The 15,785-nt window shown below is 40.9% G+C and overlaps 1 protein-coding gene across 22 annotated transcripts in view, besides 1 other annotated feature; it reads right to left on the bottom strand.

The window, feature by feature from the left end:
• STIM1 (stromal interaction molecule 1) overlaps window positions 1-15,785 on the bottom strand; it is a 238,607-nt gene that overhangs the window by 121,539 nt on the left and 101,283 nt on the right. For 18 of the 22 annotated variants that reach the window (NR_168437.1, NR_168436.1, NR_168438.1 and 15 more), the window contains exon 2: window positions 3,990-4,120. The exons of the other annotated variants lie outside the window; for them this stretch is intronic. Coding sequence is in view for 15 of the 18 variants with exons in the window: in NM_001382568.1 (NP_001369497.1) it covers window positions 3,990-4,120 (131 nt within the window). In the remaining 3 variants the exon portion in view is untranslated. The remainder of the gene's footprint in view (window positions 1-3,989; window positions 4,121-15,785) is intronic. 22 annotated transcript variants of the gene reach the window in all.
• Window positions 12,399-12,693: a silencer, noted in NCBI's record as "tiled region #12872; HepG2 Repressive non-DNase unmatched - State 8:EnhW, and K562 Repressive DNase matched - State 8:EnhW". NCBI's record gives its function as "represses a minimal TATA promoter and a strong SV40 promoter by Sharpr-MPRA in HepG2 and K562 cells {active_cell/tissue: HepG2 | K562}" and the evidence as "EXISTENCE:reporter gene assay evidence [ECO:0000049][PMID:27701403]".

The raw sequence follows: 15,785 nt of genomic DNA, 5'->3' as shown, positions 1-15,785 counted from the left end.
TCATTGGTTCCAGTCACAGGTGTAGTAACTGTGGGTACTTTAAGGTTTGGAGCACTTAAACGGCTGTGGTAGAAACAGATATCCCATGGATATCACGTTACATCTTTTTTGTTTTGTTTTGTTTTTTTGTTTTTTTTGTTTTTGAGACAGAGTCTTGCTCTGTCACCCAGGCTGGAGTGCAATGTTGCGATCTCGGCTCACTGCAAGCTCCGCCTCCCAGGCTCACGCCATTCTCCTGCCTCAGCCTCCAGAGTAGCTAGGACTACAGGCGCCCGCCACCACGCCCGGAGAATTTTTTGTATTTTTAGTAGAGACGGGGTTTCACCGTGTTAGCCAGGATGGTCTCAATCTCCTGACCTCGTGATCCACCCGCCTCGGCCTTCCAAAGTGCTGGGATTACAGGCGTGAGCCACCGTGCCCGGCCCTTTTTTTTTTTTTTTCATACTTGTTTATTTTTTTATAGAGACAAGGTCTCACTATGTTGACTAGGCTGGTCTTGAACTCCTGGCCTCAAGCAGTCCTCCTGCCTTGGCCTCCCAAAGTGCTGGGATTATAGGTGTCAGCCACCACACCTGGCCCACATGTTACATCTTGTATATCTATGGAATATTCAATCTCACTGTGCACACCTTTGACTACGGCTGCAGAAGTGTTCCTTTAGACAAAGTTGTGACCCATTTTACTCTGGATAAGGGCAGAAACAGTTCACATTCCATTATTTGTAAAGTTACCTGCTGTTGGCTTTCATTATTTTTGCTACACTCATTTTATTTGTATTTAAATGTTTTAGGCAACCTAAAAACAAATGTAAAAGTAAAGATGCAGTAAAAATGAATTGCTTGATATTCATTACTTCACGTATATCAAGCACAGCAGTAAAACAAAAAAAGAAAAACCCATGTATTTAACTTCTTTTTTTTTAGTTTTTTTGCTGTTGTGATTTTTTTTGATACTTGCCTAACATGCATGTGCTGTAAAAATAGTTAACAAGGAAATAACTTGAGATGATGGCTAGCTTTGTTTAATATCTTATGAAATTTTCATTAATAATCCAAGCATAATTGTTAAGAACACGTGTATTAAATTCATGTAAGTGGAATAAAAGTTTTATGAATGAAAAAAAAAAAACCCTTCAGGTCCTCAATGGCCAAAAGAACCAGGGTTTCTGGTACCCCACCATCCATTACACAACATTCTAAACCCTGAGATATCTACCCAACTTTCTAGTTAGATCCTGAACTCTAAGGCTATCTTATACATGTTTGAAGTGACTTAGGCACACACATTTTGGTACTTTCTCTCTCAGGAAGGTAGCTTGTGATTGATCATGCAAACCTAGACCAGCAGGCCTCTCTAACCATGTGAGGCCTGAGATTGCAGGGAGAGCAGTGGAAACCAAGGCAAGGCAAAAACTATACTGAAAAAGAACAGCTCACCACTGGCGCAGAGAAGAGCAGGGTAACAGTTTTTGTGTTATTTCGGAACAGTTTGTGCTGATGAGCTTTTTGTTGTGGTAACATTCCTCTAAAAAGAACATTTTATTCCTCCCCTCATTGACAAAGCAACTCAGCAGGATGTAACAAAAAAAAAAAAAAAAGGATGAGGAGCATATAACAAAGATATCCAAGAATTTATAGATCTTGGGTTACATCACCTTCTTCATCCATTCCCCAGTTTTCTGGCCAGGCCCTGGGACAGTGATCAGGATGCCACTAGGCCTCATTCACCCCCAGGAACATGGCTGTATTCTCAGGTTAGACAAATAAAATTTTGATCCTTTACAGGTCAGTGACACTTCTGGATGTAACCAAATTTCAGATACTTACATCATGGTCGTTGTCTTTGCTCAAGAACCTACAGTTGCCTGGTTCAACAAGTATACATATCTCAGCCTGGGCCCCACTTTCCTTTCCAACTTTTTGTTCTGTGGTTTTCTACCACAGTCCCTGTCTAACCAAACCAACCCACTATATTTCTTACTACCTCTACAGCTTTGCTCACACTGATTCTCCACTACTCAGTAAGCCCAACCCTTTCCATTCTATCCAAATTTTACTTTTTATACAGGAAGTCTATTTTTTCTCTTCCTTTAAATTCCTTAAACATTATCTGGTTCATCCTTACAGACAAATCCCCTCTGTTGACCAATCAGTGAATTTTGTGTTTTGTTTTGTGTTTTGTTTTGTTTTAGAGACAGGGTCTTGCTCTGTTGCCCAGGCTGGAGTGCAATGGCATGATCATAGTGCACCACAGCCTCGACCTCCTAGGTTCAAGTGATCCTCCAGCCTCAGCCTCAGAGTAGCTGAGACTACAGGTGTATGCCACCACACCCAGCCAATTTTTTTTTTTTGTAGAGACAGGGTCTCGCTGTGTTGTCCAGGCTAGTCTCAAATTCTTGGCCTCAAGCTATCCTCCTGCCTTGGCCTCCCGAAGTGCTGGGATTACAGGCATGAGCCACCACACCCAGATTCAGTGGAGTTCTGTATGCTACTTGCCCATCTTCAGTGATAGGGAGTTCACTGTCTACCAAGGAAGCCTCTTCTATGACAAGATAGCTCTCACTATTAGTCAATTCTTTATTCTAAAAGAAAATGCCTACTTTTTACTTTCCCCACTTTACTTTGGACCTGGTTCTGCTCTTAGAATAGGAGAAACAATACAGCAGTACTTAAGAGCATGGGCTTTGAAATCAGATCTGCACTGATATTCACTGTGTCCCTGAAGAAAATGCTTAACCTTTCTAAGGCTCCATACCCTAGTAATAATACCAACTTCATAAATCTGTTGAAGTTAAAAGAGTAACTATGCAAAAAGCTTAACACTGTGACTGGCATAAGGTAAGAGTTCAATCAATGAGAGCTAGTATCATGGTTTTCACTTTACTATCATCATTACTTAAGTCTGATTGATTTACTTCTTATGTATTTAAAGATAGAAATTATATTACCTGAGTCTCCTCTTCTCCAGGCTAAAGTCTCTTCACTAGACTTTAAGTTATATAAAGACAGACTGTATCTGTTTTATTTACAGTCCCATCTCCATGCCTAGCACAGTGCATGGTACATAGACGCTTAATAAACATAATTGTGTTGAATGCTCTTTGTTTCATACTTTCCAAACTCTTCATCACTCATGTCACTCCTCTCTGTATAGGCCCTCATTGTTCCTCACATTGGATCTGACAATGTGGGATCCAAAATTGAACTCAAAACTCAAAGGTAGGCTGGCAGGAAAGAGAGAATGGGGATATCTCCCCCATCGTGATATAACTACATCACTATTGAAGATTTGGCATAACTTGGTAGCTTCACCAAACTACTGGTATATGTTGAGCTTTAAATGAACAAACTTTTAAATCTTTTCACACATAATGACCTTATTCTCTGGGATCTGCTGAGCCACAGGTACAATAATGCCAAAAGATGAAACAACAATAGAGCTTTTTTCCATTTAGAGACTCCTTTAACTCTTACTATCTAGACCACTCAACTGGCTCCCAAAAACTTCAGCCTGGAATTCAGAATGATCTTTCTAAAACAATTTGTTTCTTCTTCCCATATAGAGTATAAACTCCCAGAGGGCAGGATCTGGGTGTCTTATCTTCTATCCCTCATGCCAACACAGGGCTGAGAACAGACTGATGCCCTCCATCTATAGCAGGATTGCAAGAAGGATGCAAGGAAACCATAGAGACCAGCCTCAGGGATCTCTCTCCCTCCCAAACAACACAGCTTAGTCAGTGTTACACAACTAGCCAGTAGGCAGGGGGCAGCCAGCCCAGGCACAGACACAAGCATAAAGCCTACACTCTGACAGGCTGACTCCTAGAGGGCTGCTCTTCTGGGAGCCATCTTCCCTGATAGGGATGAGTTCCTAAAGAACAAGCCAGCAGAGAACATCTCTCCCCAGGGAAGAGGCTGTCTAAGTAGCTTTCAAAGACTAATTCACACAGGAAGAAAAGAGAGACATAGCAGGATGGGAGAGCTCACCTCATCACTTTCTTCCACATCCACATCACCATTGGCATCATCGTCCATCAGTTTGTGGATGTTACGGACTGCCTCGAAGCTGAGTTTCTCATCCTCACTGTGACACAGGGGCTTGTCAATTCGGCAAAACTCTGTGTAAGAAAAGCAAGAGACAAAATTACTCAGAGCTGCCACCCAGAACCTATCACCCACCTGTGTCAGCATCCTTAGCTTCTAGCATCTGACTCCTCATGTAGGCACTTAACTGGCTACTTGTACAGTGACAGAGGTGTTTCATCTAGACTGTAACTGTCTCCCCAAGAAAATGCTGAGCTCCCCCACAAGGACAATGCTTTATCACCCTAATAGTTTCTTGGCAGGGAAGTCTTGCATAGGACTGGGAGTATACTGGGATCTAGACAAGAATGTGAATCAGTAACTCACAAATGAGAGAAAACATAAATAGCCAATGAACACAGGAAAAAATTTGGCCTCATTAGTAATCAAAGAAATACATATTCAATTGAGCTATTATTTTTAATCAGCCAAATACACAAATGTAAATCAACATAATCTTTCTGGAAACAGAACAACAGCCAATTAGTCCCAGTGCCCAAATGATGTGTAATTTTCCTTTTTGTTCATTTTGTCAGTGCTGATACATATAAGGTCAGCCATTGACTGGGGAAACCTCTCACATCTCATGCCTTCTCATAGACAGTTATATCAGGCAAATATTTTTTAGATATCTGAAGGTCCCGAGCTCATCTGATACAACACCTTAGGTGGTCTGGGATACAGTTTCTTCTGCCTACCATTACATGTCCATGTAGCAGTAAAACCAGCACAAGAGCCTAGGCCACCTTAGCTCTTTCTGTGACACCTAGTCCTCTCTTACAAGCCTGGAAAACACCTAGTCTGAATGATGCACACAATAGGAAGAGCCTGAAATCTAGGCTTAGCTCTACCATATGATCTAGGGAGGTCATTTCTCTTCTCCAGGCCTCAAGGTCACTATTTGAAAAAGGTATTTTGACTGAAGTTTCTAGTATTTCTTCCAATTCCTAGATGCTAAAATTCCTCTTTCCTTTTGACCTGGATCTCGACAACTACTTCCTTGGCAAAATACTCTTCAGATGACCCTCAAAGAAGATAGATCTTAACTTCCTAGGCAATAGAAGAAGCTGTCACAGGACAGAAAGTAAGGACAGGGTGAAGAGGCTGTGGTTGTGACGCCTTTTAGAAGGCACTAATCAAAGACCTAAAATACCCTAATCCATTTAATCATCTACTTGTCTGACAGCCAAAGACAGTGATAAGACTAGACAGGTCACCTCTCTACCTCTTGCTAGTTATTCAAATCCTTTTCAAAATAAGGGAGGAGTATAAATATTAAATTTTAAAGTGTTCCAGATGTGATTCAATAGAAGTATGTTGAACATTGAAGCTCACCAATGTTAAGTGATGTGCCAAAGTCAAAGGCAGCTAAAGAGCCACAGTGAGAGCCCAAGTCTGCTGACTCCCAGGCCAGCACTTCAAAATTCCATTTTCACCACTGCCTTTTTGCTAGGGTGACCAGATAGCTGGCCTTGTGTTGCTTTCATCTTTTAGAAGCCACAGGTGATAATATGGGCAAGAAGAACATTGAAGAAATGGGGTTTTTTTTGGTTTTTTGTTTGTTTGTTTGTTTGTTTTTTGAGACAGAGTCTCACCCTGTTGCCCAGGTTTGAGTGCAGTGGCATGATCTCTGCTCACTGCAACCTTCGTTCCCTGGGCTCAAGCAATTCTCCTGCCTCAGCCTTCCGAGTAGCTGGGATTACAGGCATGCGCCACCACGCCCGGCTAATTTTTTGTATTTTTAGTAGAGACGGGGTTTCAGCATGTTGGCCAGGCCAGTCTCGAAGTCCTGACCTCAAGTGATCCGCCCACCTCGGCCTCCCGAAGTGCTGGGATTACAGGCATGGGCCACCACGCCCAGCCTGCAATGGTTTGATAAAAGAAAAAAGTATGATAAACAGTATGCATACAAAAAGAAATATCTCTGCATAAACTTATTTCTCTCTACATTTGTTCTGCTAAATTGGGGAGTGGGATGAAGGGGTAGTGGGAACTTAGGGAGAGAGCAGAATACACCCAAAGATTAAGGCATTGTTTCTCTACTACCTCACCAACAAAAACATATATAATTGCATATTAGAGCTTTTTGATCAGCCCATGATATGCCCATTTAAACATTTATTGAATGTTCTTCATATATCAGGCCCTGTGATCAGCATGGGGCATAAAAACATGAATCATATCTCATTTTTCTCTCAGAAGGCTAATTACAAAAGTGGGAGAGACAAGCAATTAAAACACTATGTGCTAAGTGCCATGATAGAAAGGATCATAATTAAGTATCAGCAAATTTTTCTGTAAATGGCCAGATAGTAAACAACTTAGGATTTGTCAGCCATATAGTCTCTGTTGCACAACTTAACTCTGCCATTGTAGCACAAAAGCATCCGTAGACAAAATATAAGTGAATGAACTTGAATGTGTTCTAATAAAACTTTATTTATAAAAGCAGGCAGTAAACTGGATTTGGCCCACAGGCCATAGTTTGTTGAACCCTGTTCTAGAATATCATAGGTAGCATACCTAAATCATATTGGATTGACCTAAAAGAAAGAAATCCAAGGCTGGCTGTGGTGGCTCACACCTGTGATCCCAGCACTTTGGGAGGCTGAAGTGGGAGTTCCCTTGAGCCCCAGAGTTAAAAGACTAGCCTGGGCAACATGGTGAAACCCTGTCTTTACAAAAATTTAAAAAATTAGCCAGGCATGATGGCACACACCTGTGGTCCCAGCTACTCAGGAGGCTGAGGTAGGAGGATCGCTTGAGGCCACGAGGCTGAGGCTGCAGTGATCCATGTTTGTGCCACTGAACTCCAGCCTGGGCAACAGAGCGAGACCCTGCCTCAAAAAAAAAAAAAAAGAATTAAAGAAAGATAGAAATCCAATCTTTTCATTAGCCTGTATCCACACATATCCTAGGTAAAGCAAAACTTCTAATAGGCTTTTTAAAATAATGGAAATAGTTTACCAAGCTCTAGGGTTTGGGGCCTCCAGGCTGCACCACTGGCCTGAGGTCAATTAACCAGCACCTTTCCCAAAAACCTACAAGATCCAAGAAGTTTGGGCTTCAAATACCCAGTCTCTGGTTTGTAACCTAATCAGACAGACAGGTGACCTTTGCTGCTAGCATCAGATGACATAGAGAAGGATTAAAGGGATTGAGGGTTAGGGAGTACAAAAGCTTGATTCTCCTATGGCCGTTGAATCCTGTACAGAAAAACCATGTCAGCCAAAACTCACAAATAATTCCTTCAACCAAGCATGTCCTAAGCAGTCTCTCTGTTCTTCCTGAGACCTTTCCTACCTTCTCTTACGCATTCCAATCTGGCAAGGTTTCCCACAACCATCTGGAAATACCTTCAAAGAGCCATGCATTTAGCAACACATAACTACAGTGAAAAAGCCTGGACTTAGAGTCAGAACACTATCAAAATCCCATCTTCACCAATTACAAACCATAAGATATTGGACAAGTTAATTTATTTGAGCCTCCAATTTCTCATTTGCAAAATAAGGATAATAATCTGCTGCACAGACTTTTTAAAAATAAAATCACATTTGTTAAAACATCCAGCATAGGGCCTGGTGTAGGCTGACATTTAATACATTTGAAGTATCCTTCTTTACCCCCAGAGCAGCAAGTAAACAGTTCCCATCTTCTTTTAACTTCGGCCACTTTCCCTGTCTGACTATGAAGAATCAAATATAGGAGGTATAATCCAATCAACCTGACCAGTCATATGTTCCAAGTGAGTGGGAAAGTGGCTCTTTGCAAGACTCTGACAGCAGCCTGTACTCCCACAACATTTATATGCTATCACTGGTAACATTCAACATACTGGGTTTAATGTGTCTTCCCCACCAGACTGTGATCTCCATAAGGGATTGGTACCATGTCCCCAACAGCAACAAAAAGCCAGGTTCTTGATAAGATGCTCAGTAAATGTTTTTTTAAAATGAATACCTAAATATTAACTCTACAACTATGTGTAGGATTTCTCTAGAGAAAAAAGAGAAGAGTTCTAGGCAAAGAAAATAGCATAGGCATATGTTTTTAAACTTTTTGGTCTCAGGACCCTTTTATATGCATAACATCTTTTAATTACAAAGAACTGTTTAATATTTACCATATTAGAAAGTAAAACAGATGCAGCCATAAAAAAAGAACGAGATCATGTCCTTTGCAGGGACATGAATGGAGATGGAGGTCATTATCCTTAGCAAAAGAACACAGGAACAGAAAACCAAATACCACATGTTCTCACTTCTAAGTAGGAGCTAAATGATGAGAACACATGGATACACAGAGGGAAACAACACACACTGGGGCCTTTCGGAGGGTGGAGGGTGGGAGGAGGAAGAGGATGAGGAAAAATAACTAATGGGTACTAGGATTAATACCTGGGTGATGAAATAATCTGTGCAACAAACCCCATGTCAGAAGCTTAGTTATGTAGCAAACCTATACTTGTATCCCTAAACTCAAAATAAAAGTTAAAATTTAATTACCTACATTGCGTTAATGAATATTTAGCAACATAAAACTTTTGCAAACTGCCTCAGTAAGATTTTTTCTAGATTGATAATATGTTTCATAAGGTATAGATCAGAGCATTTCAAATAAAATTTCCACAAAATTTTGAATTAAAAAAGGAAAGTAAAACACAAATTTTTATATTTAGTTATTAATTCATTTTATTTCTTCTTAATAATCAAAACAGATGAACACTAAATGAGTAACACTAAACTCACTGTAGAACAGATAAGCCAAAAGAACAAACAATTGCTAAAGTCTTTGTATACATACTCCCAGAGCAAGACTTTTCTAAAAAGTCAATAAACAACAGATGTTGGTGAGGATGCAGAGAAAAGGAAATACTCATACACTGTTAGGGGAATGCACCAGTACAACCTCTATGAAAAACAGTATGGAGATCTCCCAAAGGACCAAAATTAGGCAGCTAGCCAAAGGATAAGAAAGGATAAGAAATCATTATATAAAGAGATAGCCACCACTCATGTCTGTTGCGGCACTATTTACAATAGCAAGACATAGAATCAACTTTAGTGTCCATCAATGGATGACTGCATAAAGAAAATATTATTTTTATACACACACACACACACACACACACACACACAATACTACTCAGCCATAAAAGAAGAATGAAATCATGTCTTTTGCAGCAACGTGGATGGAACTGGAGGCCGCTATCTGAAGTGAAACAACTGAGAAACAGAAAATCAAACATCACATATTGCCACCTACAAGTAGAAGCCAAACAATGTGTATAGGGGGACATGGAGAGTCCCTGGAGGCAGTGGAGACTTCGAAAAGTTGCCAGGAGTGGGGGAGGACGGTAAGGGACAAGAAACTACCTTTTGGGTACAATGTACCCTATTTGGGTGATGGATACACTAGGTACACTAAAAGCCCAGGCTTCACCAATACACAATATACCCATGTAACAAAACTGCATTTGTACCCCCTAAATCTATAAAAATAAAATATAAGACACTTTTCTAAAAGAACTTTTACAGACACCTAGTTTAAGTAACCACAGTTTAGTTAACTAGGTAGTTTCAATTTACTCCTAATTATTACAATTCATGCTAACAGCAAAAATGTAGATGATACATAGAGTTAAAAGTGCATTTCCCCCACTAAATGTTAGGTCATGATACCAGTATGAAGGCTTCCAAAGGACAATTTTCTCCTATGCTTTATCCTAAATTCAACCTTTTTCTATCAGCTCCTTTGCTTAGAAATACAGGTATTTGGCCGGGCGCAGTGGCTCACGCCTGTAATCCCAGCATCTTAGGAGGCCGAGGCAGGCGGATCACAAGGTCAGGAGTTCAAGACCAGCATGACCAACATGGAGAAACCCCATCTCTACTAAAAAATACAAAAATTAGCCAGGTGTGGTGGGGCACACCTGTAATCCCAGCTACTCAGGAGACTGAGGCAGGATAATCGCTTGAACCCGGGAGGTGGAGGTTGCAGTGAGCGGAGATCGTGCCATTGCACTCCAGCCTGGGCAACAGAGCAAGACTCTGTCTCAAAAAAAAAATATATGTATATATATATATACTCATCACATTGTCCTTTGATATCCCATTTTGGAAATTCAATGCTTCTCATTTGGCCTTGCCTTTTAAATCTAGCATTCCTGAACACTCAATATTAATGTCCCCAGTTATAGCTTGTTTCTAAAGCCCATAGAGTTGTTTCAGTCCTTCCTCATCTGGTCTTGTTTTCAGCTTCCTCACATCTTCTGCAACACTGTCAAAATCAGCCTGCAGGGCCAGGTACAGTGGCTCACTACCTATAATCCCAGCACTTTGGGAGGCTGAGGCATTGCTTGAGCCCAGGAGTTCAAAATCTGTCTGGGCAACATAGTGAGACCCCATCTCTATAAAAGCCAAGCATGGTGGTGCATGCCTGTAGTCCCAGCTACTCAGAAGGCTGAAGTAGGAGGATCACTTGAGTGCAGGATGTTGAAGCTGCAATGAGCTGTGATTGCACCACTGCACTACAGCCTGGGCAACAGTGAGACCCTGTCTCCAAAAAAAAAAAATCACCTTTCAGGGACATGGTGATGACAGCCAGGCTGCTACTGCTCTCCAGGCTCTCTTTAATTTATTTTAGAACAATAACAAATCTCTTACATATTAATGTAAATAATATTTTTATGGAAAATAATTGTTTTCTGAAAAAATCTCGAGAAGGGTAGAATTGTACATTTTTGCAAATCTTTTAAATGTCTGGCTTAATAGAAGACAGACATAATCTTATAGCTACATTCAACCTATTGTGATGTGTTGTTTTGGCTAAAGATCAAAACATAGATATGCAGTTGGAAAAGACAGGAATATTTTACTAGTCAGACTATTGTGGATACCTTATACGAGACTATACCCAAACTCAACAAGCGGTAGGTTTCTTAAAGGTTAGTTGCAATGTGAAATCCCAAACTATATGAATAAACTTTTTGTACCCTCTAACATTAAAATCCATTGGTCTATCTTACACTTTGAATGGATCTTTAATACATGCATGACTTTGTAACATGATGCACTTGTCATTTGGAAACTATTGGTTAGGAGTTAGTGCAGAGCTTCCAAATGTTGACACTTTCATTTATACAATATCAAAATAGCCACAATTATTAATATCACCACTGATTTCATCAGAAAAGCTTTTAATCCAGGAAAACTGTCAATTTCACAGTGACAGATACAAGTTTTCTAAAATCCAGTTTTCACTTAAAAGCTGGAATTTTATCATTGGCAACAAATACTACCAGTTGTTTTCCTTAAAGCAGAAGATGCATTTCATTTATTTACAAGAAAATTCTGCCAAATACTGAATAACCATAGTTATCTATCAAGTATTCTTTCAACTAATGATAGTGCTGCCTGAAAAAAAAGAGGTATGTCAACTTACAACTCAATTGCACAAGTGCTTTCCTTGAGATAACCATCAAACTTCTACATGCAGCAGAAATGCTTTATGCATACTTATATTTCATCACACAGAATACTAAAAGGCATGAACTCATGGGATGCAATTCAATAAAATTAATGATTTCTACTTCTTTGTTGAAAACTTTTATTTTTTTTAACTGACAGTGTGTGGAGGTGAGGAATACAGTCATTACTAGTAGTTCAGTGCCACTGGTTTGATTTGTGTTAAGGTGCCAGCAGTTTTACCTACCACTGTTTTTGCAACATCAGTACAAAGGTATACATAGTTTTTTTTAAGGCAAATAATATATTATTATGAAACGGCTTTGATCTTCTGGATGTCCTGAAAAGGCCTTGCTGCCACCCGCCATGGTCTAAAGACTACACTTTGATAGCTATTGGCAGAAAAAAACACAAAGTCCTTTCCCTCCTGCCCAAATCTCCTCACCTTTCTCCAGGCAGAGCTAATCATTCACTGTTCACTGTTCTATGCTCCAAAGCACTTTGTGCATAGCTCTGTTATATTAATTCTCATGTTATGAGTTGTTCACATACCACATCCAAGTGGTAAGAACCAAGCTTGACTCACTCTATCCCCCAGGGCCCATTATAATATTACCACTACCATCTACCCTGTCAAGTATGAAATCAGTATGTGCTGGCTAAATGAATGAATGAATGAAGAATGTGTGAATTAATTAATTAAAAAACCATATCTCCCAAAAAGTCAAGGGAATTCTTGAATACAACCCACCAATTCCCACCACCAATATCCACTGTCCATCTAATGCTTCGACTTTCCCAACCACTTTCTGTTTCTCGTCACTAAACAGTAATTCATCCCTATAGGACGAATTGGAAATTGCCAAGTTTTACCAGCAGGGGCCCCATCAGTAAGAAGAATTTCTCCCACTTCACCTCTTATTTCTCAGCCAGGACTAGCAAATTCTGCAGCTACTCTTGATGGGATTAGAATCCACCCTCATTCTTGGAAAGGGATCAAAAGACTAAGACTTGAGAGTACTAGCCCTGGGAAGATTTTCAAATTTGGTCAAGGACCATGAAGTTCAAGAGATAAAATAGCATGGGGCCTAGAATGGGGATGAGGTGAGGGAGGAGTAAGGGATGGACGCTCTGGCCAGAAATGTAAAGTCTTTTTTTTTTTTTTTTAGACAGAGTTTTGCTCTTGTCGCCCAGGCCCAGGCTGGAGTGCAATAGCTTGATCTCGACTCACTGCAACCTCTGCCTCCCAGGTTCAAGCGATTCTCCTGCCTCAGCCTCCACTGCCACGCCTGGCTAATTTTTGTATTTTTAGTACAGACGGGGTTTCACCATGTTGGCCAGGCTGGTCTCAAACTCCTGACCTGAGGTGATCCACCCGCCTCAGTCTCCCAAAGTGCTGGAATTACAGGTGTGAGCCACTGCGCCTGACTATGGAAATGTGAAGTCTTAAAAAAGGAACAGGTTTGAGACCTGGAGTTATCCAAGAAAGGTCCCCAGTGAAATATAACATCTCAGCTGAGGCACACAGCAGGCCTAGCCACAGAAAGAGGAGTCATACCCCTAGGCTAGGCAAAACTCAGCCTATCTGAGAGATATTCCTGCGTCTGTTAGAACCACTCGTCCTCATATCCAAGAAGAGGACCAGCTCTTCTCAGCAGGGGGCAGGAATTCAAAAGATCTTTTCTTCTGGACAAAACTGGCACTGGTTTCAGCTGCCCAAGCAACACTAACACAAATCACTACAGATTCTAAGCTCTAACTTCCTTTTTATTTTTGAGAGGGGGGTCTTGTTATGTTGCCCAGGCTGGTTTCAAACTCCTGGCTCAAGCAATCCTCCTGCCTCAGCCTCCCAAATAGCTAGGATTATAGGCTTTTGCCACTGCACTCAGCTTCTAAGCTCTGAATTTTGACCAAGCTCACTTCTCTCCCTGAGGTCGCTCATCAAAAATTAATCAGCTGGGAGCGGTGGCTCAAGCCTGTAATTCCAGCATCTTGGGAGGCCGAGATGGGCGGATCATGAGGTCAAGAGATTGAGACCATCCTGGCCAACATGGTGACACCCTGTCTCTATTAAAAATACAAAAATTAGCTGGGCATGATGGCACGCGCCTGTAGTCCCAGCTACTTGGAAGGCTGAGGCAGGAGAATCGCTTGAACCCGGGAGGTGGAGGTTGCAGTGAGTCAAGACTGCGCCACTGCACTCCAGCCTGGCGACAGAGTGAGACTTCGTCTAAAAAAAAAAATTAATCCATTGGCCAGGCTTGATGGCTCATGCCTGTAATTTCAGCACTTTGGGGGCCAAGGTAGGAAGATCACATGAGGCCAAGAGTTCAAAATCAGCCTGGTCCACACAGTGAGATCTCATCTCTACAAAGGAAGAAAAAAAAATTTTTAATTAGCCCAGTGTGCTAGTGTGCACCTGTAGTCCCAGCCACTTGGGAGGCTGAAATGGAGGACTGCTCGAGTCCAGGAGTTTCAGGCTGTGTCAGCCATGATCATGACACTGCACTCCAGCCTTGATGACAAAGCAAGAACCTGTCTCAACATTAATAATAATAATAGGCCAGGCGCAGTGGCTCACCCTAGTAATCTCAGCACTTTGGGAGGCTGAGGCAGGTGGATCGCAAGGTCAGGAGTTTGAGACCAGCCTGGCCAACATGGTGAAAGCCCATATCTACTAAAAATACAAAAAAATTAGCCGGGCGTGGTGGCGGGCGCCTGTAATCCCAACTACTCAGGAGGCTGAGGCAGGAGAACGGCTTGAAACCAGGAGGCAGAGGCTGCAGTGAGCCAAGACCACACCACTGCACTCCAGCCTGCGCAACAGAGCAAGAATCTGTCTCAAAAATAATAATAATAATAATCCACAGCATCAACTATATATACAGGTCCATGTTGAGCAATGCAATGAGATATACTTCTGAGTTCCAACAGCAATTCTGACTTTGCACCTCATATGGCCTTACCTCAGTCAGTTTATAACTATAGTTATTTGAAGATATCTGAGGACACAGCTTGTGATTCTCATTTTTCATAGCATTTGATTCCACCTGACACATGATATATTTATTCCTTGGTTTGCTTATCACCTATCTCCCTCCACTAAAAGTAAGGTCCACGAGAGCAGTCGCTTTTTTGCTCACTGCAGTATCCCAAGGGACTCGTACAGTGCCTGACACATACTAGGTATTCAATAGAGAATTTGCTGAATGAATGAATAAATCTTCGCTTTCCCTAATTTGCAAGGTAGGTTTCTCCTCTCTGACTTTTTTTTTTTTTTTTTTTTTTTTTTTTGGAGACAGGGTCTTGCTCTGTCACCCAGATTGAAGTGCAATTGCATGATCATGGTTCACTGCAGCCTCTACCTTTTGAGTTCAAGCAATCCTCCTGCCTTAGCCTCTCATAGTGTTGGAATTACAGGCATGAGCCACTGTGCCCAGACTTCTACATAAATTCTAAATGTCAGAATTTTTTTCTAAATTCTGGGCTGTCTTCTTACTACACTCTTTCCTAAAGTGATTTTACCTCTTCTCATACCTTCAGTTACTATTTAAAGAAATTACTATTACCAAGTCCTAAAATTATGTTTCTGGTTCAAGTTTCACTTAGGACCTACAGAAACCCACAGAACCTATCTACCTAGTAGACATCACATGGATGTCTCTCAGGCACTTGAACTAGTTAAGTTCCAATTCTAAATTCATTTTTTCCCTAACCTTCCTACTTTTCCAGGTGCTTATGTCAGAAGCCTTGACACCTCACTCTCCTTCACTCTCCACATTTAATCAATCACCAATCCTAATTCAATATTCCTTAACTATTCCAACTCTTATCCTGCACACAGCATGCCTCTCCCAGAGGAGATAATCTAAATACTTAATGACCAATCAGCAGAAATGCGAGCTATAGGCGGTGCTAGTGCATACTAGCTGAATATCCAACCTAGTCACTCTCTGCTTATAACCTTTCAAAAATTTCTCCTTATTCTTAAGATAAAGTTAAAATTTCTTAATGTGGCCTGCAAGGCCCAGAATGATCTGACACCTGCCATCTTTCTGATTTCATCTCCAGTAACTCCTGCTTTTTTTTTTTTTTCTATAACTTCATATTAGAAGTGAAACTCCTGACTACTCTGGGCATACTGCTTATGGGGTAGCCCTGCTGCACAGGGAGCAGTAAAAAATAATAATAAAAAAATTTTTAATTAAAATTTTTAAAAATAAAAGAGAAG

Source organism: Homo sapiens, chromosome 11 (genome assembly GCF_000001405.40).
Source record: "Homo sapiens chromosome 11, GRCh38.p14 Primary Assembly".
NCBI lineage: Eukaryota > Metazoa > Chordata > Mammalia > Primates > Hominidae > Homo > Homo sapiens.
The sequence above is the reverse complement of the archived record's forward strand: the minus strand, read 5'-3'. Positions and strand labels throughout refer to the sequence as shown.